The following is a 27,296-nucleotide window of genomic DNA, read 5'->3' as shown; positions in this document are numbered from 1 at the left end:
CCCACAATTTACAAAACAGAAAGTGGCATTTCACTCGATAGTTTGACCGCGGTCCCACAGCTAAGGAGTGCTGAGCCCAGGTTCTCCACATGGCTTGCACTCCTCATGACACCCTTGTGCTGTGCTCATACCAAACGCAGACAGAAACTGGATGCTGCGGCTAATTGGCAATTGTTATCAACAACTCCTCCTATTTAAAAACTTGTGGCTTGTCAAAACAGTCTTGTGCTATTTTTAATGTTACAATAAGTAAATATAGATTATAATGATTAAATCTACTTATAAGTGGGTAGATAACACTTTTCTCTGTTTTATTTGTGGAATTTTATACATAATCTTGTTTGAAATCAGAATCCTGCTACTTAAAAATAAAAGTTTGAAGACTACAAAGTAGTTATATAGGAGAATAATTATTGACATGGAAAGGTATTTAGAATTTTTTAAGTATAAAAAATAAAATATATACTGAAACAAAAAAATCCCCCGCCAACAACAGTAATAAAAACCTTATGCATAGAGTAAAAACTGAATGGGTATAATCCTAAGAGGTAAGGGTGAAAATTAAAGGAAATTCTTGTAATTTTCTAATGGCTTTTCTGTGTTTTACAAGAACTCCAACTACTGCATGATCTCTTCAATAAGGAAAAAGAACATTTAATAATGTTTGTTTTTTAAAGAACCCATATTATGAGCACCATAGAATTTCTATGTCTACCTCTAATTAGATCACCATTTTACCAAATTTCCAAGAAACACCAATCCAGTGTTAAGCGAAGACAGAACTCATAAAATGTTAAATGAATGAATAATTAATGAATGAAATATATCTGTAATATCTCTGTACTATATGATGACCTTTCACATAAAACTTAATGCAATAATGTAGCTGATAATGGAGATTATGGCAATATATTTGCTAAACGCGTAGGCTAGATCCACAGGAATACAAAAACCTAACTTTTTAAAGGTTTCAGGCTTAACATACATAATATTCAACAAAAGTGGGCTGCATTTGAAGACACACCCTCAATTTCACGCCATCATGTGGGTCGAGCGCAGTGGAGATCTTCAGCTCCAGGATAAGGAAGGCTCTCACCCTTGAGATCAGGCTTCTTAAAACAGATGTCATTCAGCTGCCTGCAAACTATGTGGGGTCCCACAGACCATCACATGGGGTCCAATCTCACTCTTGCAGGCTTCAGGCACAATGTGACCTGGCTGCAAGCTCTGTGCTCCACCTGATCTTCCACTACGCCTCTCTACACATACCTCATCATGTACTTGAGAGGATGATTTAGCCTCGCCTGAGTCTATCTCACACTCTTCTGCACGAAGGCTTCGCTGCCGCCACTAGGTAACTCTGCTACCTGGCAGACATCACTCAGCCACTGCGGATGCAAGTGAGTGCACTGAACATCCATGACCTCCCAAGATGCTTTCAGCACTAACATTCTACACGGTGTCATCCCCTCCTCATCCTTTCCGAACACACACGGATTGGGTCCTGGAAATAACTGGACCATTTTTTACGCCACGGCTGAGATGTTCTCTCCTCTGTGAGGACTTCACCTGGGCTCAACATAATCCTTTATGTACTCCCCTGGCCTCTCTCTTTTCCCATTCAAATCTGTATTATAATTACTTATAAACACTGAGTCACTTTTTATGCTATATCCTTAAAGGCAGGAAACCTTTCTTGTATCATCTTCATTGCCATAAATGAGTGCTATACTCTAGACAAGATACCATAAATGGGTTGAACAACTGATTAATTAAAATGGTTTCCTTACTTTGAGAAATGCAATAAAATCACTGGAAAAGCAGTTGTAAGATAAAAGTATAAAATCTAAATGTTAAGATTATAGAAAATGGAAAAGAATGTTATGTTTTTTAAACAGTAACTAAATTATGCATGATATTATAATGGCAGATACATGTCATAAATTTGTCAAAACCCACAGAATGTTCACCGTCCACAGCGAATCCTAAATGAAAGTATAGACTCTGGGTGAGAATCATGTCAATGTAGGTTCATCAACTGTAACACATAGACCACCTGGTGGGGAATGTTGATAACGAAAGAGGCTCTACACGTGTGGGGTAGGGGATACACGACTCATTTCTCTACCATCCTCTCAATTTTATTGTGAACCTGAAACCACTTTAAAAAAGTTTATTTTTAAAAGTCACTAAAATTAGGTAATTAGCTCCCAACCGAATATATGAACTCATGGTGATTAGAAAAACTACACTTCTAATTGGGATTTAACGGGCTTTTAATCCATCATGGCGGCCCACCTGATTTGACTGCTCAGTGATGAGTCATTACCTGTAGTCACACCAGGGGCATCTGTAGGGCTTTTCTCCAGTGTGGACACGTTTATGCCGAGTCAAATGGGACTGAGTTGTGGAGGCAAAGTTACACTCATCGCACTTGAAAGGTTTTTCTCCTGTAATATATCAAGAAATGTTACAGATGAATAATAATAACAACTGGAAATGAAGGAATAAACCTGGTATTGACAATTTAAAAAACATTTATTTCCATGAAATGTCAAGAATATGATTCAATGGACTCCACACACTTAGGACATTTGAATATTTATTCTCAGAGTGAGAAAATTAGAAGATATCATTGATTTTTGTTTCTATATTAGAATGTAAGCAAAGTATAGATTATATGGTCAAGGTTTATTTTACATAAACAGGAATCTAAATTCTAGGGATGGTTCAGCACTGTATTTAGAATGGTTTAATAAACCATGTTACATCAGAGCCATTACAAAAATCTTAGAGAGGTTAAAACCAAGGATAGGCATATAACAGAGATATACTGTGAATATATAATTTAAAACTGAGTAAAATCTTAACATTAGATATGAAGAAAAATAAAATCAAGCTACAAATGGGCACCACCTTAAAAAGTGTCAGAAGCAACAAAAAATATACTGTATTAAGCCGAGTAAAAAGAGGACCCAAAGAAATATTTAGAATATTTAATACCACATTAAAATATACCAACCCTGTGTAGATATAACAGATAGATACATAGACAGACAGACATAGGTAAATAGACAGACAGACAGACAGACACAGCTACGCAGTGCTTAATGGCAGGGACAGGTTCTAAGAAATGCGTGACTAGGCGACTGCATTGTGGTGAGAATATCCTGCATGCACTTACACAAACCTAGACGAAACAACCTACTACACACCTACCTAGATGGTGTAGCCTATTCCTCCTGGGGTACAAACCTGTACAGCATGCTACTGTACTAAATACTGTAGGCAACTGTAACACAGTAACAAGTATCTGTATAACTAAACACATCTAAACACAGAAAAAGTACAGTAAAAACACAGTGTTATAACCTCATAGGACCACCATTGTGTATGTGGTCTGTTGTTGACCAACAAGTTATGTGATGCCTGCCTATGTGTGTGTGTGAACGTGCTTATCAAGTGTAACCATTCTACCCATGAGAAGTTCATGGCTTGCAGAGGACACGAAGATAGTGAAATAGCATACTGGTATCTTGAACAAAGTATTTCTTTCATTTGACACCTCCCTCTCCTTTAAATCATTCCTACCCACCCCACACACATTCAAAGAATCATGGAGTCTTATCGGCTTTTAATTCCACTAGCTGCATTGGCTGATAGGCACTGAAAACAAGGATATTTAATTTTAATTAATGTAAATTTAAATGTAAAAACTGATACTCGACTGAGCTATTGAAAAAATGTTTAAATATGGTTGGAACAGCTTGGGAATGTGAATCTACTTTTTGAAGTGTAACTTTTATCAAATCTAAATATAGATCATATATTTCAGATGAAAATTTAGCCTCTGAATTGAGATGTTCTAAATTGTAAAATACCAAATTTCAAAATCGTAGTACAAAGATTATGATAAAAATATTGTTAATAATGTTACATTGATTTGATGTAGAAATTATAATAATTTGAATTTGGTTAAATTAACTATTGTAAAAATGTTTACACCTGTTACTTTTTCTTTTTTTAAATATGGCTACCAGGAAACAATATTATACATGTATAGATCACATTATACTTGTATCAAACAGTAATGATTTAGAGAATACCTCACTCCCCTGTTCTCAAAAAAAAATGTATAGTAATATTTTTCTCAACATTTTTCCTGGCAAATTTTACATGTAAGATGGATTAATTTTACATATGTTCAATAACTCTACTTGTTATTTCTTACTTTCCATGTTTTTGTGATAGCTGTATGAGTATACTGACTTACTTAGAAAATGAGGAGTAAAATATCTTACTTTAAAATTACTCTTTATCAATTTGGCTATCAACAAAACCGTATCTGTCCTGAAAATTAGAACGTTTAGAAGTTCGCCCTACATTCTACGTCTATTTATACTGCTTACCCATAATTGTAGTAACATTTAACTGAATCCATACACAACCCATTTGGTGGTATTTTCTCTCTTACTGCAGCACAGTAGTTAGATGAAGCCAGATGGACTTCAATTCTGATCCCAGTTTTGCCATATTTCACTTGCTACCTGTTAGACCCTTTGAACAAGATCAAGAGAATAATACCACCAAACATGCAGGGTGATTGTGAGGATTAAAGACAACTAAAAATATGGAAAGAGTACACTTAACACAGAGTTCTCAATAGCCAGTGGCTTTTATCATTATGATGACAGAACTGCCTAAACACTGATAATTGTCAACACGTCTCTGCCAAAGATGAAAGAAGCACACAAATGCTTCTCATCAAGAGCTCATAACCAGGAAAAAGATGAACAGCTAGCAAACATAAAATAATTCATGGTTTTGCATAGTTACTGAATATGACATAAAGATATCATTTAACAGATCCTACCAGGAAATATTTGTTTGACTTATTCTTATGTTTTTTTTTAAAGACTATATACCAAGCAGAGTAAAAATCTGAATTGAAAGGGATTTTTGTCTCTTTTAGCCTTTTGTCTTTAAGATAAATCCCATCTATAGTACCCCAAACAAGTGGTCACCCAAGGTCTGCTTGAATAACTCTTTGTTCTCAGTTTCTAAACCTCTGGTCAAATGACTTAAATTGCTATAGACAACTCAACTGTACTGAAATGACTTACACAAAAATTTACTTTTATGATGATGGCAGATTTTGCTTTGATGGAAAATATATGATATTCATACTGCGTAATAAAAAAAATAGGTGAAGCTATTCAAATTTGACACAGAATATTCTGTATCATGAAATCATATGAACATCCACACATAGCATATTTGAAAACATTTATAAGATTTGTTCATTTAAACAAATGAATAGTAATTTAATGCACACCAATGTCAAAGTGCTGTACACATGAGAAACAGAAACACAAAGGAAGCACTAGGCTAGATAAAATGACACATATTATAAATTATTTTACTAACTTGGCCTATAATCTGTCTAGACTGGCCGTATGAGGCCAAATGTATAAAGCATTTTAAACAGCTTCAGTGAGGCATAATTGATACACAAAAACTTCCATTTGATAAGTTTTGTTATTGATGAAACTCTGCCACCATCAAGACAATGAACACAACCATCACCCCCAAAAAGACTCCTTTTAACTTCAAGGTTCCCTGTTCATCCCTTTGTCAAGCCACCATGCTTTCTGTCACTATTATATTAGTTAGCATTTCCTAGCAATTTATACACCTAGATACTTATGGTATGAATTCTCTATTGTCTGGACTCTTTCTCTCAGCATAATTATCTTCTGGCTCATCCATGCTACTATGAGTATAAATACTTCACTTATTTTCGTTGCAGAGTAGTATTCCATTATACGGGTGTACCAAGTTTGATTATCCATTTGTCTACTGAAGGACATTTGAGTTGTTTCCATTTTTGGCTACTACCACAAACAAACCTTCTCTGAGCCTTCATATGCAGTCATTATATGAACATCCCTTGGGTAAATCCTGGAGTATGATAGGCATATGTGTATAATATGGTAGGTATATATTTTGCTTTGTAAGAAACTGCCACACTGTTTCACAAAGTTGTTTGAGCATTTTACATTCCTACCAGCTACGTATGACTTGCTTCAAATCCCCGCCAACACCTGTTGTAGTCAACGCTTTACACCTGCATTCCTCCGAGGGTGCCGAGGATCTTTCCATGTGCTTATCTGCCATACCTTTATATTCTTTGGGGAAGTATCTACTTCAACTTTTTGACTCATTTTTAAAAGGTTGTTTTCTCAGAATTATGTTTGGAAAGTTCTTTACATATTCTGGATAAAAATTATTTATAAAATTGGTCACTTAAATATACTTTCTCTGTCATTTGTCTTAAGTCTGTTCACAGCACCTTTTAAAGAGAAGTTTTACTTTATAAAGTTTTCAACTTATCAACATAATTTTTCCGGTTATTTTTTATTTTATAAATCAGGCTACTGATGTCATATCAAAGAAATCATTGATAATCCAAAGTCAGAAATAATTTTCACCTATGTTTTCTTCTAGAATTTATATAGTTTTAAGTTTTACATTTAGATTATGATCATTTTGAGTTAATTTTTGTATACGGTACAAAGTATGGGTCAAAGTTCATTTTCATTGCACATAGATAGCCAACTGCTCCAACATAGAATGTTGAAAAGACTAAATTGCCTTTACTCCTTTGCAGAAAAAACACTTCCCCATGTAGTACACGTCTATTTCTGCAATCTCCATTCTCTTCCACTAATAAACATTTGTCTGTCTTGATGCCAACACCAGAAGGATTTCATTATTGTAACTTTATAATAAGTCTTGACATCAAGTAGTGTAAGTCCTCCTATTCTTTCTCAATGTTGGTGACTTATTTCAAGCCTTTGAATTTCCATATAAATTTTAATATCAGCTTGTCGGTATCTTTAAGAAAAATAGCCTGATGGGATTTGGATTGATCGATGTGAACGAAATGGAAATCCTAACAATATTAAATTGTCTGATCTATAAACATGGTACAACACTCTGTTCAGATCTTCTTCAATTTCTCTCAGCAGTGTTCTGACGTTTCCACCATAATGGTTTTGCACATCGTTTATTAACTTTATCTTTAAATATGGTGTCTTATTTAAAAACAATTGACAAACAGATGCACAGGTCTATTTCTGGATGCTATTCTGTTCCATTGGTCTGTGTGCCATCATTATACCCCCAAGATACTATTATGATTATGGTTGCTGTATAATAAGACTTAGGTAGGTAGTATAAATCTTATACTTTCAATATAATAAGTCTAAGTGGTCAAGCAATTTAAAGATTTTGTTCATTATGCAAATTCACAAATATATTCTGATGTCTCCTTATTCCATTCAATCTAAGTGTTTACAAAATGTTTTGGCATTAAAACTCACTGCTATTTTCTTTATCGCAATAGTGTTGGTAGGTGTCTTCAAACTATTCATTTTTCATAGATTCTGCTGATATTTGAAGTGGGGTAAAAGGATGACATCATGAACTCCACTGCCTAAGTCAATGGTATAAATTAAAGGTCATCTAAGATCTCTGAGCTGCATTTTCTTGGTTTCGTAGTTTAACATAACCTCTTAAAAAACTCTGTTTAATGTAGCTTATTTTATTTAAACTTACATGAAAATCTTTATGTGACAAAATTTAAATTTAAAAACAGTCCTTCTAAGGAATAATGTCATATATATTCTCTATAGTTCATATTAACCTAGTATTATATTGTAATAAATTATAAATGGTTCTTTCATATTTTCTTTGACCACACAATAGATTACATTGTGTAATATTAAGCAAGTTTGAATTACATACAGGATGACAGGGAAAAATATAATGCCACAAAAATATCATGGTACATAAAATCCTATGCTAAGCAAGGCTCAGACATCTGAGCTCTTGATAGCTTAAGTCCATGTCAATTTATACAACCACAGATGATTCAAATCTGTATATAATAGTCAATTTGTAACTCATCAATCAGTTACATGTTCAATACTATTACTCTAATACATAATTTGGTAATTCTTCTTCTCTTTTATGGGTAATTTCTTCAGGAAAATATACTACAGAAATATAGAAGGAGTTTTGTGTTTGTTAGTCTCAATATGCAGACAAAAATATAGACCTGACTTCTAGACTGTAAAGTTGGAAAGAAAATATCACAAATTTGAAATAAGAATTTAAGTTTGCTAAATATTTGCTAATGGTTTGAAGATGACATACATTATATGAAAAGATATATACCTGTTAAGGAAAAACTGATGGCAGACTGATCAAACAGGTTTGGTGCATATTGGCAAAAGTGCTGCTTTGAAATCCTTTGTCATTTTAAAGGCAAACGGATGCATAAATCTAAGTAAGATATTGGCTACTCTCAAACAATGTTATCTGTAAGTCAACAGGGCTACCTGTACATGTGCTTTTCAAACAAGCAGAACAAGGATGAAATTTCCTTTCCTCCTGTTTCCCTCCTACATAACAGTACCTATTAGTTTAAATTGTTTTGCTTTTCACACTTTCCGTTACAAGCAGTAATCTTGGCTCAAATCACCATTAAGAAACATACTGCATCTCAGGCCCCATTGATAAGGAAAGCCAGAGGATGAACAGCAGAAGGGCTGTCGTCATAGTGCGGTGCTCTTTGTGTGTCAACTGTCCGTCAGACGGGCTGACCGCGTCTCATGGAAACACACACCCACATTCTTTTGGGCGGGCTGGTGGTTATTAAGCTGGCCAACACTGTTCAACCACACGTGAGGATCTTCTCCTGTGCCCTTGAATCAAGGGTCCCTGACAGGTGATAAAAGTAAATCTTAGAATGGAAGATGTTTTGTGTCAGCCCCCTGGACAGTCTGTATTGCGGTGAGGAATTATTTACACCATTTGGAGCACTTTTGATACGTATTCCTTTCCAAGCTGATTATAATTTGCGTGGGTACTCTGTGGTAAAAAGGTAAACCATGTCAAAGAGGAATACGTCAGAGAAATATAGATTTCAAATGCACCATACAAGTCTGGCCTTGGGGGAAAAAGGTTGTGTGTTGCTTAAATATTTTAAATCCAGCATAAAAGTTAAGTGCCCAGACTGAGTTGTGCCTAGCTGTTTTGTTGAAGCAAACAGTCTTAAGAACTGACTTTGGTGTTAAAGAATCATGTTTGATTTGTGCTACAGAGGCAGATAAATGCCAAAAAGACAGATACCTCTGTCTATGAGACACTGTCCTATATGGTATAAAGTTAATAGCAAAGTAATAAGGAGCCTCTGGACCTGACATAAAATATAAAGTTGTGCCAGCTCAGTGCAGGCTTCCTGATCGATCTATCACTGGGATGCCCGTGATCACAGCATTCCTGTCTCCACTTCGATGGGCACTGACCTGCCCACTGGCAGAGGTGGCACAGCAGTCTGTTGTTCCCTGGGGCCATACCAGGTGGGACAAGGTGAACTTCAATGGCATTTAAACAGTAACAATTTGAGCACTGATTAAAAGTGAAAACATTAAGAACAAAAAAGCCCTCATGAGCATACTGTTACCATAAATGTTTCCAATTTCCAACTTTATCACAACAGTGGTCAAGAACAATTGCCACTAACTGGGCCCCTCCTGTCATCTCTTATGCTGAATCCTGAAGCCAGTGGTTAAAATCAGGCATGCACAGGTGGCTTCTATACACTTAAAATGGACCTTGTTTTCAAAGTTTAGTTTATGTTTCCAACATTGTGCTAAACATTGAAATTTCCCATTAACTCAATGATAACTCATATCTCTTATGAAAATCTGAATCATATTCATACATCTAAAAGGAATGGCTGGCATTAGCTTGCATTGATCTTGCAAATGCCATATTGGGCACAGAAGCTACCTGTACCTAACTGTTAAATACAACATATCAAGAATCATAATGTAACATAAATCACACATTTTATGTATTTTAATTTCATGCCATTTTGAGTATGACTGACAAACTCAACCATTCTCATGAGACCTAAGAGAAGTAGGACATTTATTACCAATTTTGTCATCAAGTGACTTATCATCTGAACTAGGACACATTTAGAGTAAAAAAGTGGTTCTATTAATAATTACAAGAAACCACCATAAATTAGCACTGTCCCAGGCACACATAAATTAGTATTATGAAAATAATTACTCATAAGACCCATTAGATTATATAAAGTAGGCAATACAATTTGATAAATGTTTAACACTTTTCATCTGTAAGTGTTCCTGATATGGTTTTGCTGTGTTGCCACCCAAATCTCATCTTAAATTCCCACATGTTGTGGGAGAGACCTGGTGGGAGGTAACTGAATCATGGGAGCAGGTCTTTCTTGTGCTGTTCTCCTGATAGTGAATAAGTCTCACGAGATCTGATGGTTTTAAAAAGGGGAGTTTCCCCATGCAAGCTCTCTTCTCTTGTCTGTCGCCATGTAAGATGTGCCTTTCACCTTCCGCCATGATTGTGAGGTCTTCCTGAGCCACGTGGAACTGTTAAGTCCAATAAACTGCTTTCTTTTGTAAATTGCCCAGTCTCGGGTATGTGTTTATCAGCAGTGTGAAAAAGGACTAATACAGTTCTTAATGAAGGAATCTATTTTATTTCAATGAATCACCAAGAATGCACATCATGGAGAAAAGTCCTCTTCAATGACCATAATTAACTCTCATGTTGCTGTTTGATGTTTTCTATTTTTAATACCAAGAACAACTGAAACAGCAATGACTTCAAATCCTATCTAATCACAGATGGATTGATAGACAGGCGGGTGGGGAGGGAGACAGGGAGGTAGGCAGAGAGAGAGAGAGGAAGGGAGGGGTAGACATGTCGCTAGCTAAATGGGGAGGCGGGTGATTAGCTACGAGGTGGGTAGAGAGAATGACTGAGAGGGAGACTGGTTGACAAAGACTCCCCATTTTCCACCCACGAGGCCTAAGGCAGAGATTTGCGGACAGAGAAGATAGTCTCCTGTATCTGGGCTTTGGAAGCCAACCTGCTGTTTTACTTCTACTTAACATGAATTTACTGAGGGTACCTGCTTCTTGAAATATGGAATATGTCTACATTTCAAATATATAAAAAGAGATGATTTAAAATTTTATGTTATTCAACTGGAATTATCTGTAGACCTTCAAGTGCACAGATGTTATAAAAATTAAAAAGGAAAGTAAATGATGACATCAAGAATTGAGGCTGGGGTGTCTTGCCGTCCTCTCTGCAGAGAAGGGGCCAGTGCAGCATCGGAACTGACCTGTGTGCTGTCTGCGATGCTTGGTGAGGGCGTGGCGGGTCCCGCCGGCAAAGCCGCAGAGGTCACACAGAAACGACTTCTCGCCTGTTGCAACAACAAACAGATGAGGGACTGCGGAGGTCACAGATCATTAAAACATATCTATCAAGGCTTTCAGGGTTACTAATTCCTCCAATCAAATGTTTCCATGTAAATATGTCAAATGGGAATGAAATTACCACTGCGGTTTATTGACTGTGATAAAATCTGAAAAGCACCACTGAACATAATTACATACTTGTCAGACCCATAAAAATTAGCTTTATTATCAATGGAATGGTTTTGTACAACTTCATTTCTGGTAGATGTCTTCCAGATGGGGCTGCTTTATGCACTTGAACAGTTTTTATGCATATCCTGATATTTTACAATTCCCATACATCTGGCCTTTCTGAGCTGAGTAAAGATTGCTTGGAATAGTTAATATACAGTATATATGGTTCTGCTTAAAGAAAACAGATTGAATTTTCCAGCAACTTAAGGATATTGAATTGGTTCTACCTGATTCTATTAGGGTCTTCCTTAATCACTTCCTTCTTAATAATATGAATTAAATGGTTTCCTTGAACATGCTGAAGATCCCAAGTAACAATAAAATCTATATTAGTACCAGTAGCAATTCAATGCTGTTTATGTTTCTCGCTTTCATGGCATAAAAAAGAAAGTCTAGGGATTGCTACAGAAATTGTACAAAAATTCATACTATTCATCTTTAATGACAGCTCTGGATTGGAAACCTTTGCAACACTTAGGGACAGATTTGGCAGACTTAGTATTTGTTAAATGTGTGCAAATGCTCATTTTTTTAAGCATTTTCACACAAGCTAACATGTGCCCTAAGTTTATAAATGCAATCTATCTTCCCACTGCAGCATATTCAGGCAGTAAGTGCTGGCCAGCTAGGCAGATCATCCCATAAGACTCACAAAGAAAGGCAAAATAGAAGAAAAATGCTAACCTTCGAGAGATTCAGTGAAATTATAAAATGTTTTTCCAGAAATAAAATAAATCATTTGTATCTATCTTTAACTACTTTACTCATTTAGACATTTAATGCAACAAGTCTTTCAAGAGTTTGGCCAGAGTCAGGCTGTGTTGTCCCAAATCACTTTGGTTTATCATAATAGAAACTTAACTTGTGGTGTTTTGGAAATTATAATTGCCTTTTTAAGGTTCTAATAAATAGTACATATAGGAAGGGAGAATAACTTCAGTAATCAAAAGAGTCTTCCCTTTATTTTAAGAACATTACTGGCTTTTCTACTTTCAACGAACACATATACTTAAAGAGAGTTTTAACCAAATTACGCTTAATCTTATTTCCTAAGGGTAAGTTAAAATGTTCATTATTATCATTTTAAAAATAAGGCTGAATTTAAATATTTTTGCTATCTTTACTTCTTATTTTGGGGCTAAGTTTATTCCTTGGTATTATTATTTCAATATAGAAAGAATAGAGTAGATGGGCTGTAAAGAATAAAGTTTAATTATAATCACTCATTTAATTATTTAATCAATTTGAAATAAATCTTTCTAACTAGCTGTATTATCAATTAAATAACACTGAGAGTAGATTTTTTTTAATCCCACAAGACAATTTGCTCGTTAATATTAACACAGTTTTCTATGTTGAGGCAAAATCGTTCCCTCCAATCAATTCCTCGTTGCGGGTCCGTGGGTGCTGCCTGCTGTGCGTGTGAGGAGTGTGTGTGCAGCACCACACACACATCTGGTGGTGTGTGCTAGTGGGAGTGTTTGTGCCATATCATTCAATAAGCAAAATTTCTAATGAGGAAAGAGCAATCTTAGGACTTCTGGATTCAAGTATTCTTCCTTTCTGTCATTTATGAACTTCTTTGTGGCCTGCATCTTGTAAAATAGAAACATGAACAAGCATAGAAAATCCCTCTTAAGATTTATATTTTCTACATGCATAGATGCTGCATACTTACATATATGCTTTATATATTTTTATTCCTTTCCCTATTTTAAGATTTATACATACAAAAAGACAAAATTATTAATTTTCTATGTGAGTTGATTCTCAATACATTAGTGACTTTGATTTTTTTATGTGTATGATTTTATTTAGGATGTTAGTCTCCAATGTATTGTATATCATATTTACCTGGGTGGCTTGATTTGTTTTTCATTCTAAACTCAATTTTCACTTGCCTTTTTTTTTTTTTTTTGGAGTGGGTTGGGGTGTTAGGTTTGATCAGCAGCCAAACAGAGTGTTTTTTTTGAGAAAAAAAATTTTAAGAAAAAACTAAATGTAAAATTTCTTGAATTTAGAGGGGGTTCATTCAGCATGCCCTATTTATATGATAGCAGAGATATAATGGGAGACTTCTTTTTGTAACAACTTGAATTAGTTTCAAGTGTGCCATTTTGCATTCAAATGTAGAAAGACACGGAAACTAATCCTTTATTTTCTATTAGAAAACAGCCACTGTCCCCTATCTCTCATTATGGTGCAGACTACAAGACCTAACAACAAAAATCTATATTATTGATCCAGCCAAGTCTCCACAATTATTCTTTAGAAGGAAACGCCGACGATAAATTACATCTGCACTGGCTTTTCATCTGCTGTTCGATATAAGTGATCTCTCAGGGCAGGCTGGAGACCTTAAATCGTCAACACCCTTGTCAAGGAAGCTAAGGAGGCCTGGGCTTCCCACAAACTGCTTGAGAAGAACTTTTAACCTATAATTTCTAACAATAATATAAAATTCTTGGCAATCAGAAGAACATTTTGGAATGCTGATTAAAATGTATTATTTTTTTTCCCTGAAACAAAATACATTCTGAGAGGTGTAAAGAGAAGGAAGACCACAAAAATATCAAACAGCTCACAGGAATATGGCCACAATGCTCTAGGGAGAGACTCAAATATAAGCTTGTAAGGAAGTTTTGGGCCCACTAGACTTAGACTATAAAAAAGAAATCACAAACATCACAATAGGGTCTTACTGGGATTTACATTTACAAGGGCCCAACTGAGAGTTCTGGCACCACCCCTACCAAAGATGTACGCTCAGTGTTGCTCCACATACCAATTAGCGGAAATTCCACACCCTCTGTTACATGTTCTGATGTGAAATGTATGTGAATTTGAACATTTTTAATAACTTTCCAAAAAAATTATAGTAGCTAAATGCGGATTAGTGTCTTTGTATCAATTATCCAAGTATTTGTATCAATTATCAAAAACTCTTGGATCTGACAGTATCCTCCTCAGAAGAAAAATATTCATGTGGTAACAGTTTCTTAAAACGGTACATAAAACCAAGATTCATTAATGTTCAAACATACTATGGAAATTCGTTTATATCAGTAACAAAACACAAGACTAGCTCTCTTTGAAAACTTAATCTCTCCATATGACCTTCTATAAAGATCTTCTAAAAAGACATGTTAAACACATACAAATATATATATACACATACATACACCATAAATGAGCTTCTAAATATAGACTTATTTTATGTAAACACATTCACACACAAGCACAAATGTCACTTTAAAATTGCCTTCTCACTGAAAAATAATGAAATGATACCATACCTATAAATACATAATTACCACAATCTTAAAGCAGGACATCATTTCCATTGATTACTATGAAGATGGGATAATTAATGCCTCTGTTCCCACAGTCCACCCAGTCTACCTCTGCCCAGCCTCCTGGGATAGGAAGGCGGCGCGGCACACCTGTGTGCGTCCTGTAGTGGTCTTTCATTGCGGAGGCTGTGAGGAATGAGTAATGGCACGTGGGCCAGGTACATTTAAACGGCTTTTCTCCCGTGTGGAGTTTCATGTGGTTGTTCAGGGCCCACTTCTCTGTGAAACTTCTATCACATAAGTGGCATGTAAATTTCCTGCATGAAGGAGAGAGAAAACAATATAAATATGGCCCGCACACCAGCACCGAAGGCCCCAGGCAGCGCGTGTGCGAACCCTGAGGTGCGGTGCACACGCAGCCTCTGCGAGGAGCACTGCAGGCCTGGTCTGTCATGTCTGTATAACCAGGCATTGATTTTTCTGTCGAGGCCTGGCACTTCAGCCATTTATTCTCTGCTTTGCGGTTGGGCCCAACGGGTTTGAAAAATTCTGTTACAGTCCAGTCACCCCTGAGGCAAAAGTGAGAATAGATTTCACCTGTACAGGCCTACACCACTTATCCAGGGCATGGGCTGTCAGAGCAAAGGCTAAATGAAATGCTATCCATACTCAACCACTCAGACAAGCCCTGCTGTCTGCTGGTGTGCGGCTTGTACGGCTGGAGCAGGGCCTCTCCTGCATGCACCCGGCGGCCTTGCAGCACTACGCTGCAGGGAAGAAAAGGCAAACCCCAAAGGTGTTTCCTGAACCAGGGGTCCTTCTGTGTGACCATGTGGGTACATAAAAAGGTTCGTTTGATAAAAATAAAAACAGATCGTAACTATACATTTTTACAAAATCAGTATTTGAGAAAAATAAACCTTAACTATTTCCAGTATGAAAAAAAAATACTGAAAATAACAAATTAGTACTTATACAATATAATATTTCAGGTTTACCATTTAAGACCTTTCAATACCTTTAATAATAAAGGAACTCTGAACCACCAACAGAACCTTGAATACTTCCTCTGTTTGATCTTCTGCCCCTGTTCAATTGCATTCATGAAATAGTTGCTAACATTTACTTTACATTTCCAATATGAGTTTAAAACAATCCCTGTAACTAATAAAATACTCTCCAGTTAATTCAGAATAATGAACAGTCAAAAGCAAAGTAAAACTCAATAATCAACAGTAAAATATTATAACGAGTTGACAAGCACGATGCCACAAAGATAGTGTCTGGCAAGCTGGGTTGGCTATCATAAATTTTAGCATTTTAATGCAATCAGAACTATGAGTTTAATATAATCTGTGCTTTAAATTATGATATGAATAAGGAGATGTTGAGTGTATACTTTCACATAGAGTCTTTAACCATACTTTTACAAATTTCCTTAGCCCCATAAGGGCTGATAAAGAATCCCAGGGTCCAAATAATTAACTTCCCTATTTTGAGGCAAATGTGAATTACCTTAACAAATTCATCACTCGGAATATCACAAATTCCCATGAATCAAATTATAAAATTGTCTTTTATAAAAATCTTTTATTCTATTTAGTTATATTTTCAAAAGGTAGATCTTAAATGTAATAGAAATAAAAATAGTTAAATATTTAAGAATTGCCATATAAGTTAAATGCTTCATTAATATTAAAATTGCCAATTTATTTATCTATATATGTAAAGAGATACTATATTTACACCCGTTAACATGGACTAACTTTGAAATTACTATATCATTGGATCATTGCTTACTAGTACTAGAGAATGACAAATATAACTAAATACTTGGATATGCACTGTAAAAAAAAATCACGTCCGTATATCTCTTTGACGGGTCTTCATGCATTTAACATTTCAAAACCATGACAGGGATCTTATTTCCAAGATAAATTCCCCTATCTACTTATTTCCTCATGTATTTATTGTGGCTCTAACCTTCTCCTACAAGAAACAAATAAGGAGGTTAAGTAGATACTATCTTTTAACAAATAGTTTCTCCAGATTTTATTACAACTTTATGAATGACAAAATAAATCCCTCATTTTTAAATCTACTGTGATGTACATTTAACAAAATTACATCTATGAAACCTCAATATATGTACTCTATTATTCCTATGTAATAAAAATGTTAAACTAAAGCTTGTGCCTGTCGTGAAATGACAAAAGCCAGATAACAAAGAACTAAGACCACCACTTGACTTTCAGAAAACCTCATGTGTTCTACAATTTGCTTTATGAAAATAAATAAGCTCATTCTGGCACTTAAAAAAGAACCGGTATTACCTATGTAAACTGTCCTTATAAAGATCAAGACGTACTTAACAATGGGGTGTTCTCTGGAACTACACAAATTCTGAGTCTCAAATATTCTAAAATATTTGCCTTCACACAGCAACTCAGTAAGACCTCTACCATCACCCAAGGGATCCTGGTCCTCCTGGGGACCTGCAGGAAGTCTATCACGAGGAGCCCTGGGCGAAACCTGAGCTAATAATGCATACAGCTCTATCTTGCCGGGTGAACCCTGCGAGAAGAGGGACATCAGTGTGTGTTCTGGCTGGACAGCAGAAACACCTGAATACCCACTGTCCCCAACACACTGTTCCACATAGCACAGAGAAATCAAACGAAGAGAGGAGTCAGGTTTGGCTTTCAAGGAAATTGCAGGCTACTAAGAGAAAAATCATTCACAAAAATAAACTTAATGCCAGAAAAAAAAATTAAATGCCATTATAAATTTAAAAGAAGAGCAATTACAGTGGGGCAGGGCAGATAAGAGAAGGCTTCCCAGAGGTGGCATTTAATTTAGACATTTAAAAACAGGTGACAACTGGAAATGCAGAGCTAGCTGGGAGGGTATCAGAGACGGGAGATGCACAGTCCCGGAGCTAGAGGCAAAGGTGCTGACAGGCCTCAACAGCTGTGACTCTTCCTCGCCGGCTGTGACTCTTCCTCGCCTGCCACCCCCCAAGGAGATGCCCCTCCAGCCACCAGGGATAGGGCCAAGCCCTGTGGCTTACCCTAGGCTAGATTCAATGTTTTAAATGCTTTTCTATCCCCACATGGTGGACTTTCCTGAGAGATTTCTTGCATAACTGAATTTACAGTATATTAAAGAGGTCTGTTTTGCAAAAATTCACTAGTGAAGATTGTTTTATAGGTCAGTTGAGGGATGTGCAAAGATGAATAATTAGTAATAATGTAAAGATTACAATCTGAGAGGGTAAATAACACAAGCACGCATAATATGATGGTATATGGTTCACCCATGTTCTTACGGCCCAGAAAATTGAAGCCCAGAAGAGAGAGCTGGGCTTCAATACCATCTGCAGTTCTTAGGTAACAGAGTGACTCTACAATGCTTACTACAAGTTCAAAACGCCAAACAGTGCTAACAGAATTGAAATGAAAAAGGGCAATTTCTTATCTTCCCTTTCCTTGGGCTTCACTAGATGTTTCTCTTGGATATAAAGAGATCTTAAAGGTTTCAAAAGGAAACAAAGTCACAAGCAAGAGAAATCAAAATGGATCCAGACTTCTCAAGAGCAACATGGGTAAACTCTGAATGTTCTACATAATACCTTTAGTGTCCTCTCAGCAGGCGTTTTCATTACAGAGTTCCTGGCACTGAGATGTCTGTTATGCTAAACTTGGAATAAGGCCCCTTCTCATGCACGTAGCTATGCCATGGAAGTCAATTACGAGTTAGTCTTCTAGCATAAATTTAAAAGAGTTCCTTTTTTTTTTTTTTAAGAGCCAGGGTCTTACCCTGTCACCTAGGCTGGAGAGCAGTGGTATGATCACTGCTCACTGCAGCCTCAGGACCTCCTGGGTGCAAGCGGTCCTCCTGCTGGGATTACAGGCTTGAGCCACCTCACCTGGCAGGATTTCTAAATTAAATAAGGGGTTCCTAAAATTCTAAGCACTTTTTCTAGTATTCTCAAAATATTTATGAGAGGTTTCTTTCTTCACTACTATGTGCGTTGTTTTTTTCATTAGCACCCTACTAAATGTGGGCTGACTCTGGCCTTAGCTCACCTACCTGCTAAAATCAGTGAGCAGAGGTGCAAGCCAGGGTGTTCAGCACATGCCAAGGTATTCCTTCTCTGAAATTCTCTCATTATATGATTGATAACAGAGTCAAAATGAAAATCCACATCTTTAGACTGAAAATTTTGAAGACAGAATACTAAATATCCTCATTGTCAGCTCTATGACAATAACTAGAAACTCTCACCTGGTGTTGCTAGATGTCATGAATAAAGTTAAAGAATAAGTAGGGAACTGAATTATGATTATAGGATTAATAGCACTGTCCTAATAGATATTTTGGCCTCAGAGAAACTCTGTGTTAGAGCATTTTTCTATTTTTGAATGTCTAAATATCAGACAAGTTATGTCAAAATATATAATGTGTAATTTCAGTTATATCTATAACCTTATGTTTCCACATTACTAAGGTAAGTATCCTAAAAAGGTGGCTTTTTATTCATCTTCTTCAAAATACATTATTAAATGTTATTTAAATTTTTTATATCCTTTAGGCAAAGTATTAATTCTGCTATTAAAAACTTAATGAAAAATAGGCACACATCTCACATATATAAAGACACAGGTATTTTAATAAAAGTGGTTTATTATTTTATTTTTTACCAGTAAGAGGAGTCACTAGTATATCTTTTCTTTTTTTTTTTTTTCTTTTTTTTTTTGAGACTGAGTCTCGCTCTGCCACCAGGCTGGAGTAGAGTGGCCCGATCTCAGCTCACTGCAACTTCTGCCTCCCAGTTCAAGCGATTCCCCTGCTTCAGCCTCCCAAGTAGCTGGGACTAGAAGCACGTACCACCACGCCTGGCTAATTTTTTGTATTTAGTAGAGGGTTTCACCATGTTGGCCACAATGGTCTCCATCTCCTGACCTCGTGATCTGCCTGCCTCGGCCTCCCAAAGTGCTGGGATTACAGGTGTGAGCCGCCGTGCCCAAAAAATATCTCCCCCATTAAAATTTAAACAATCTTAAATATCCGTCAGGTTGTGAGTAGACAAACAATGAATTTAATCACAGAATGGAATATTATAATACAGTGAAAATGAATAAACTAGGGCTACATTTATTAGTATGGGTTTTTAAAAATCTCAAAAAGGTGATTGTATTAAAAAACAAGTTGGGTGTGAAACTGTATCATTTATATAAAATGTTGCAACAAAATAAACAGTATTAAATATGTAAACCTAGGTCGTCCATGTGCAAAAGCAGGAAGATCTCACCACTGATCAGCCTGTGGAGGGGGGCGGGGCGGATGCTGAGGAGGGGGGCGGGGCTGACGGCAGCACAGTGCTAACTGTAGTTCTAAAATTTTGTTTCTAAAAAGAAAGAACTCTCCAGCCTGACCAATACAGTGAAACCCGGTCTCTACTAAAAATACAAAAATTAGCTAGGCATGGTGGCACGTAACTGTAGTCCCAGCTACTCAGGAGGCTGAGGCAGGAGAATCGCTTGAACCCAGGAAGCAGAGGTTGCAGTGAGCTGAGATCACACCCCTGCACTCCAGCCTGGGCAGCAAAGTGAGACTCTGAGACTCTGTTTCAAAAAAAAAAAAAGAAAGAAAGAAATCTGTAATAAATATGACTATATGTTAATATCTTCCAAAGTGTTTATTTTTGAAAATTTTTGTAATTCAAAATATTTTAATTAAGACAATCAAATATTTCTTAACTTCTCTATATGATAACTTGGACCAGTCTTTTCAAATTAGTATATGAGACAAACTCATATCTACAAAAACCACACCAGTGGGAAAGATCTGGTATGTTCCAAATGAAATTTTAATAAAAGAGTGAGCTAAATTTTATCAAAGTATTTAAAAATTATGTGGTCACTATCCTCTAAAACTGTGACAAAAATGTGTTGATTGACTAAAAATTACTGTAAAACTACACTAATGTTAAAAAAAAACTGACAGGTATTGCTTATCCTTTTGAATAAACAAAATATAGAACTATGAAAACAATGCAAGATTTATATAATTCCTAGCAAAACAGCTCAATGTACTAACGAAGTTTATAACAATTTCTAAGTTGCTCAAAGACTTCCAATTCACAGGCAGTTTCTTTGAAATAAAAGCCTTCTTTTTTCAAGATAATAATTTAATAATTATATGATAATATACTAAGAGAGGGAATGAAAATGAAGTGGTCTTTGCCTAGAAGGGTTCCCACCTGAATTTCTTCAGAGCTGCAACTGTATCTGAAAACAATCACTTCTGTGAAGAATGCAGCACACAGAAGGCACACAGGGACGAGCACTGCCGACCGGCCACCATGCCCAACTGACTCACAGGAGCGCCGTGTGCTTAGAAAGTGTCCCAAAAGACCAGAAAGCAAAATGAAGACACTCACAAAATCCTGCCACAGCAACAAATTCAGTATCTATAAGCATCATAATTGTGAGATACTTAAAGTATTTTGGGTCCAGGAAACATCTGAGTGAAATTACAATACTGCTTGTAGACTTTAAGCACACTTTCATACAACACAGACACTAGAACCACATTAAATATACCCAAATAATTCCATAGTAACCTGTTCACCATATTTCTATGGAGTTTCAAAATACTATATATCGTGCTTAAATTCAACATGCAACGTTAGATGGAAAATAAAAATTTCCCAATACTGTCTAGAAATTTAATAATCAAAAAGGTACTCTAATAGCTAAATAACAGTAACTGTGATAAGACCACAGTCATCTTTGACCATTTCCTTCTAAACATTTGTGTGTGTACGTGTGTGTACAAAGGCTAAATAAAAACCTTGCTCAATGAATGAAGTTACATCCAGACACCAAAAATGTTCCATGATAATACTAATATCTAGATCATTTAAGTTAGACTAGACTTTGAGAGTTCCTTGTTTCAGATTATATATAAAATGTGAGCATAATTCGTATTAAGAAGCCACAAAGACCTAAGAATAGAAAGGTTTCATTTACTAAATTCAACTCTAAGGCTCTAGTGTGGCTTCAAGACGAAAGTTGAAAAACCTCCCCTGAGGGCTTTTAAACAGTTCACCAGGGAGCCTCCTACTTAAGCCAAGAGTCTTGAGCACATTTTTGCCCTGAACAGGTGATAATTAGCCTAATTAACAGGCTAGATCCTTGTTAACTAGTTGGAAAAGAAAATTAACCTCACTCATGCCAAAGACTGTCATTTTTATACCTCTTAACATATCACTCAGGTTCTAAAAGCTGTGAAACATATTTTTCTAGCCCTTTCAATTCAATTCAAGGGTTAAAAAGCTTTTTGTCAAAATAACTTCTGGGAGGAGCATTAAGCAGAATATTAACCCCAGGCTGCCTCAGTCTACTAAGAACCAAGAGAATGACTCATTCTAAAAGAAAACATTCAAGGATTACAATTGCTGTGCCCTCAAAGACTTGATTTCATCTTTCAAAATCTCTGCTATGAAATTTTTCTTTGTCAAAGAGACCATCAACTCTGGCCAACCAAATTAATTTTAGCTGAAATTTTCCCCAATATACCACACACTATGCATCCAATACTCACCAGCACAATAGTATCTTAGATCGGGGTTAGGAAACTGTGTAAAGGACCAGATAGTAAATATTTTCAACTTTCGTGGTCATAAGGTCTTTGATACAACTACTTAACTCTGCTGTTGTAGCACAAAAGCATCATAAACAAATCAATGTGGCTGTGTTCCAATAAAACTTGACAGAAACAGGCAGTGGGCCTACTCTGGCCTGGAAGCTGCAGTTTACCAATTGCTGGATTGGATGAAAGTTCAAATCCCCCCACTTCTGCCCCTAAAAAAACCCCATCTATACAGGGTAAAAGAACCCACACTGAATGTTGTAGGCACACAAAGGTCCATTAAGCCCCATTCTCAGGGTTCAAGAAGTTGGTTTAGTTCTGAACTTATTCATGTTTCTTGCACAGCTTTAAAACTTCAACATGAGAAGAACAGGTGGAAGGAATTATACTGCATATGAGACCCATTCCAGTCAGAGGCTGCCCTGTCCTTTTTAAAACTACCCCCTTTCAACTGTATGGCAGGGCTGCAGGGCTTGGAAAGTTGAAACAATTTTAACTAACCATAGAAGTCAAGTCCTGGAGAATAAGACATATATTAAACTGCCACAGTTCTCTAGTCTGAGCTAAATGAAATTTTATTGCTTCAGGTTAGGTAAAAAGCCACTGGATTTATGTAAGGAAAGTTAAAATAATAGTTACTAATATTGGACTAATATTACTATTTAAAGAACAAATAAAGGGAATTTCTTTTAAGTCATCATTCTTACTGATATACATAATTTGAGCTAAAAAGATAAAATGTATTTCAATCCCCACTTACACCTTCATTCCAAATGCCTTAATTTCAATCTTTGGACATTTACTACACAATCCTAACCATCTTCAAATTATTATAGTTCAGCTACTTCTCTATCAACCAACCAATAAGAAATTATGTTTGGGGATTTACTGTGTGTCTAGCAATGATCCATGCTATGTAGAAACCTATAAATAAATAAAATACATCTATTCCTCCCCAAAAGGATCCTATGATTCAATGGTCAACACTAATGTCACTGAAATAATGAGAACATCAGAACCCCACAGTATGTGGGACTTTTGAAAAAGCTCTAAAAGCTGTTCAGAAAAAGGGTCAATACACATAGATTGAAATAGTTGAAAAAGGCTTCACTGTTAAGGTGGGGCTTCAGACAAGTCTCAAGGACAGAGCCAAGTGGTGTGATGGAAACAGCAGCGACTGAGACAAGCTCTGGGGCCCAGGCAGCCAGGTGGTATGCAAGAGCAGTGAGCCAACCATGCTGACGGGGGTTGTGGGGGAACAGGCTACATAGGACGAGCAATCAAGTTGCACAATTTTAAAAGTCAGATTAAAATGTTCTTGATAATTAAAGAAGTTTGGCTTTGGTATATATGACAAAAGCAACCAACAATCTCTTCTTTGTTTTTCGTTCTTTTTCTTTCCTATCATTCTTCGTGCTTGCTTTTCACAATTATTTAACTATAATTTTCTAAGGAGCTAAATGCAGCCTTATCTTTCCCAGGTGCCCATGATCAGAAAGATACAGTACATATGCATACAACCCACAAATATGTGTATGTCTATGGAAAAACCTCCTATAACAATGCCCTCACCCAAGATTTATGATGACATCGTTCTAACATGTGGCCAAGTAATGTACTAAACAGCATGTTAGCTATAGCAATGCTGCTGTGCTTCAAGCTATATACCTACACATGATACAAAATGTCATTTCAGAGAGCTGAGAACCTCTGTTTCCTTTGCATGTCAATGGAAAATGTTTTAATAACTTTTAAGATGACATTATTTTAAGATGACTATTCACAGCATTAGAATGAATTAACAAATATAACTACGATGGATTTTATCCATAAACCAAAAATAGGCTTACAGAAAAAAGAAAAGTATAAATAAAAAGAAATCAACTACAAAGTCAACTCTAGTAACATTATTTTCTTTTACATTTCAACATACTAAACAATATACTAAACTGGCATATTAATGGAAGCTATGAATAAAACCTGTCCCAATTCAACTTATTATCACAGTCTAACTCATCAGGAAACTGATATGCAGAGTTTGGAAAAGCCCTAGTAAGGAATTTATACTGTACTGATATAATAGTATGGCTAGAAAATATTTCATTAATATTACTGTATAAAATTTTACTAGTAAAAACATACATTATGGAAAAACACGGTATATCTGCATAGAATCAACTATCCCAAACCCTTTACTAATAAACCCGATGGTTTCATAAGAACAGTACTGCTCAGTTCATTTCATGCCACAGGTTCAGAAATCACATTTGCAGTCAGATACTCATGCTGGTGAGGAAAAAGCAGCTAGTAAGTGTCTGGCCTTCGGCAGCCTCTCAGAGCCTCAGAAGGACCATGGAATTTTTATTCCTGGTATGTATTCGAGTCAATATTTCTACAACATTGGGCACAGGACACGTGTTCAATTTTGCATTATAGTCCACATCATCAGTGCTCTATAAATATAAATTAAGATAACTATTCCACAAACTGTTTAAAACAGCAATAAGAAAGTCATAGTTTCTTGCCAGCAATTCGTGCCAGGTCAAACTCTCCAGAAAAGGTCTATCGTATATCGTATAGTTTACAAACAGTAGCAGTTTTCTAAACAAAGTTAATATGCCAAAGACAACACGGCTGATCATAAGTAGTGTCTGCATTAGACACAAAACACATGGGATTTAAATTTATTAACACTAGAATCCTGTTAGAACCATTAACTGACACCAGTGTATTTAACTCTCTGACCTTGGGACATTAGTTAAGGGATGACAACCATCACTATTTATTGTTAATCTGTAATGTGATTTTATGCAAGATTCAAACTATGGTGGATTAAATTTCTTCCTTTTTTTTTTTTTTTTTTTTTTCGGGTAGACACAGGGTTTCACTATGTTGTCAAGGCTGGTCTCAAACACAGGGGCTCTAGGGATCCTCCAGCCTCAGCCGGAGTAGCTGGGACTACAGGTACATGCCACAAGGCCCACTTTTACACTAAATATCAATGAATAAAATAATAAATGAATAAAATAATATAATGAATAAAATAAAATAATATAATGAATAAAATATAATGAATACAATAAAATGAATAAAATAATCAATGAATAAAATAATATTTCTACCGAACAAGTGGAAATTCCATACAAATAATTTTTTAAATTATATATATATATTATTTCTCACAAAATTGATTCTGGTAATACCCAGAAGTGTTTCATAGACTCATACAACTGATATACAATCAAATACGCTATGTTTGCAACTTATCCTATAGGTCTTTATGTATCTATTATGGATACATAATTTCAAGAAATTTGAGTACATATGCTAGATTTAGAATGGACTGTCCTCTCTGATGGTGACTGTGTGTGATTTGCTGCAGTTAGGAAGGGCAGCTTTCCACACTTAGGCATTTCATTGTCTTGGACTTTGTCATCATCTCGGCCTTCTAGCATGTCAGGATGATCTAAGGAACCATTTGAGCTCAAGGTAAGATTAGCTAGAAAGGTTGAGATGTATTACCCAGTAATCCCAGAGTTCAGTACAAAATTGACCCTTTCAGAGACCTTAGTCCAAAGAGCCGCAGTTACACTACACTTCTAGAGTAAATATCTTGGGGCATTTGTGCACTGGAGCATCACCAAGATGCGATTTTAGTGCAGTAGACCAATTCAACATAGACACAGTAGAACCCGACATAGATCACAGCCTGCTCTAAATCATAATATTCTGACATGCAGACATATTGAAAGATCATGTTGTAGGGAGTTATTTGTTCCTTGGTAAATCGTAAGTTCAAGGGAAAATACAAAGATTGAATTAACATAAAAACAAGTTTTATGGTTTTAAAGTTAAACTGTGATGCAACTGAGAATAAGTAGTTAATAAAATACTATCAAGTTTTTCACTGTTTCTGACACATGCCTCCACTAAGCAATGTCTTTGAGGTAACTGGCAATGAAACACAAATAAAACTAGAGAATACACACATATGTGAGGTATCATTGGGAAAAACCTCATAGAGCAAGCAATTACATATTAATTTAGCGTACTTTCACTACAAAAGAAATTTATTTTTAAAATTGGATGTGTGCAATTATGAATTTTTTACAAAACAGATTTGCAGATTTAATCTACTTCTCATATATTCTAAGTTATTTTGAAAAGATAAATTCAGATAGACATCAATAAATACTGGATATAGATCATTTATACTAATTTTTCAATACCTGCAACAAAAGGCCATGTGGAATAACATTATCATTTATTATGTACCTTCCAGCATTCAAAATATTAAACTAAGTTTCTTTATAATATTATTAAGTGCATAATCAAAACTGACTGGAAGGATGTAGGTGATAAAATATATTTATATTTGGCATTAAGTATAGTGTTAGGGAAGCTAACATAAACATACAGAATTAACTGAAGCTATCAAAATGAGGTTAACAATTAAAGGGACTTTTTCAATTATGGGCAAGGAAAGAATAAAAATGAAAGTTAAATCGCTTGCTAGTTTAGATATTATGATAAAAAGAAAACAAAACCACACAACTGTTTACATTGCTACTGTCTCTCTTTTTAAAACATTTTTCAGATGGAAATGAACTGATGTCCAAGAAATTACACACACACAAATGACAACTCCTCTTTTGGCTCTGAGAAGGAAAAGCAGTGAAAGTGACACCAGGGTCAGCTCTGAGCGTTGGCCAAGTACCTGGCCAGGTGCCTAAGGAGAGTCCCAGGTGAGTGGTGAGTACAGCATCTGCGCAAAGATAGGAGC

The 27,296-nt window shown here is 35.9% G+C and overlaps 1 protein-coding gene across 4 annotated transcripts in view; it reads right to left on the bottom strand.

Annotated features, from left to right (window-relative positions):
• ZNF407 (zinc finger protein 407) overlaps positions 1 to 27,296 on the bottom strand; it is a 467,802-nt gene that overhangs the window by 173,304 nt on the left and 267,202 nt on the right. For 3 of the 4 annotated variants that reach the window (NM_017757.3, NM_001384475.1, NM_001146189.1), the window contains 3 exons: positions 15,005 to 15,171; positions 11,249 to 11,332; positions 2,330 to 2,450 (listed from right to left, as the gene is read on the bottom strand). In NM_017757.3, coding sequence (NP_060227.2) covers positions 2,330 to 2,450; positions 11,249 to 11,332; positions 15,005 to 15,171 — 372 coding nt within the window. Of the gene's footprint in view, positions 1 to 2,298; positions 2,451 to 11,248; positions 11,333 to 15,004; positions 15,172 to 27,296 lie in introns of all 4 variants that reach the window. The other variant, XM_017025838.3, reaches the window with a different exon arrangement.

The sequence above is a fragment of the Homo sapiens genome, chromosome 18 (genome assembly GCF_000001405.40).
Source record: "Homo sapiens chromosome 18, GRCh38.p14 Primary Assembly".
Lineage (NCBI taxonomy): Eukaryota > Metazoa > Chordata > Mammalia > Primates > Hominidae > Homo > Homo sapiens.
Note: the sequence above shows the minus strand (reverse complement) of the source record. Positions and strands in the feature narration are given on the sequence as shown.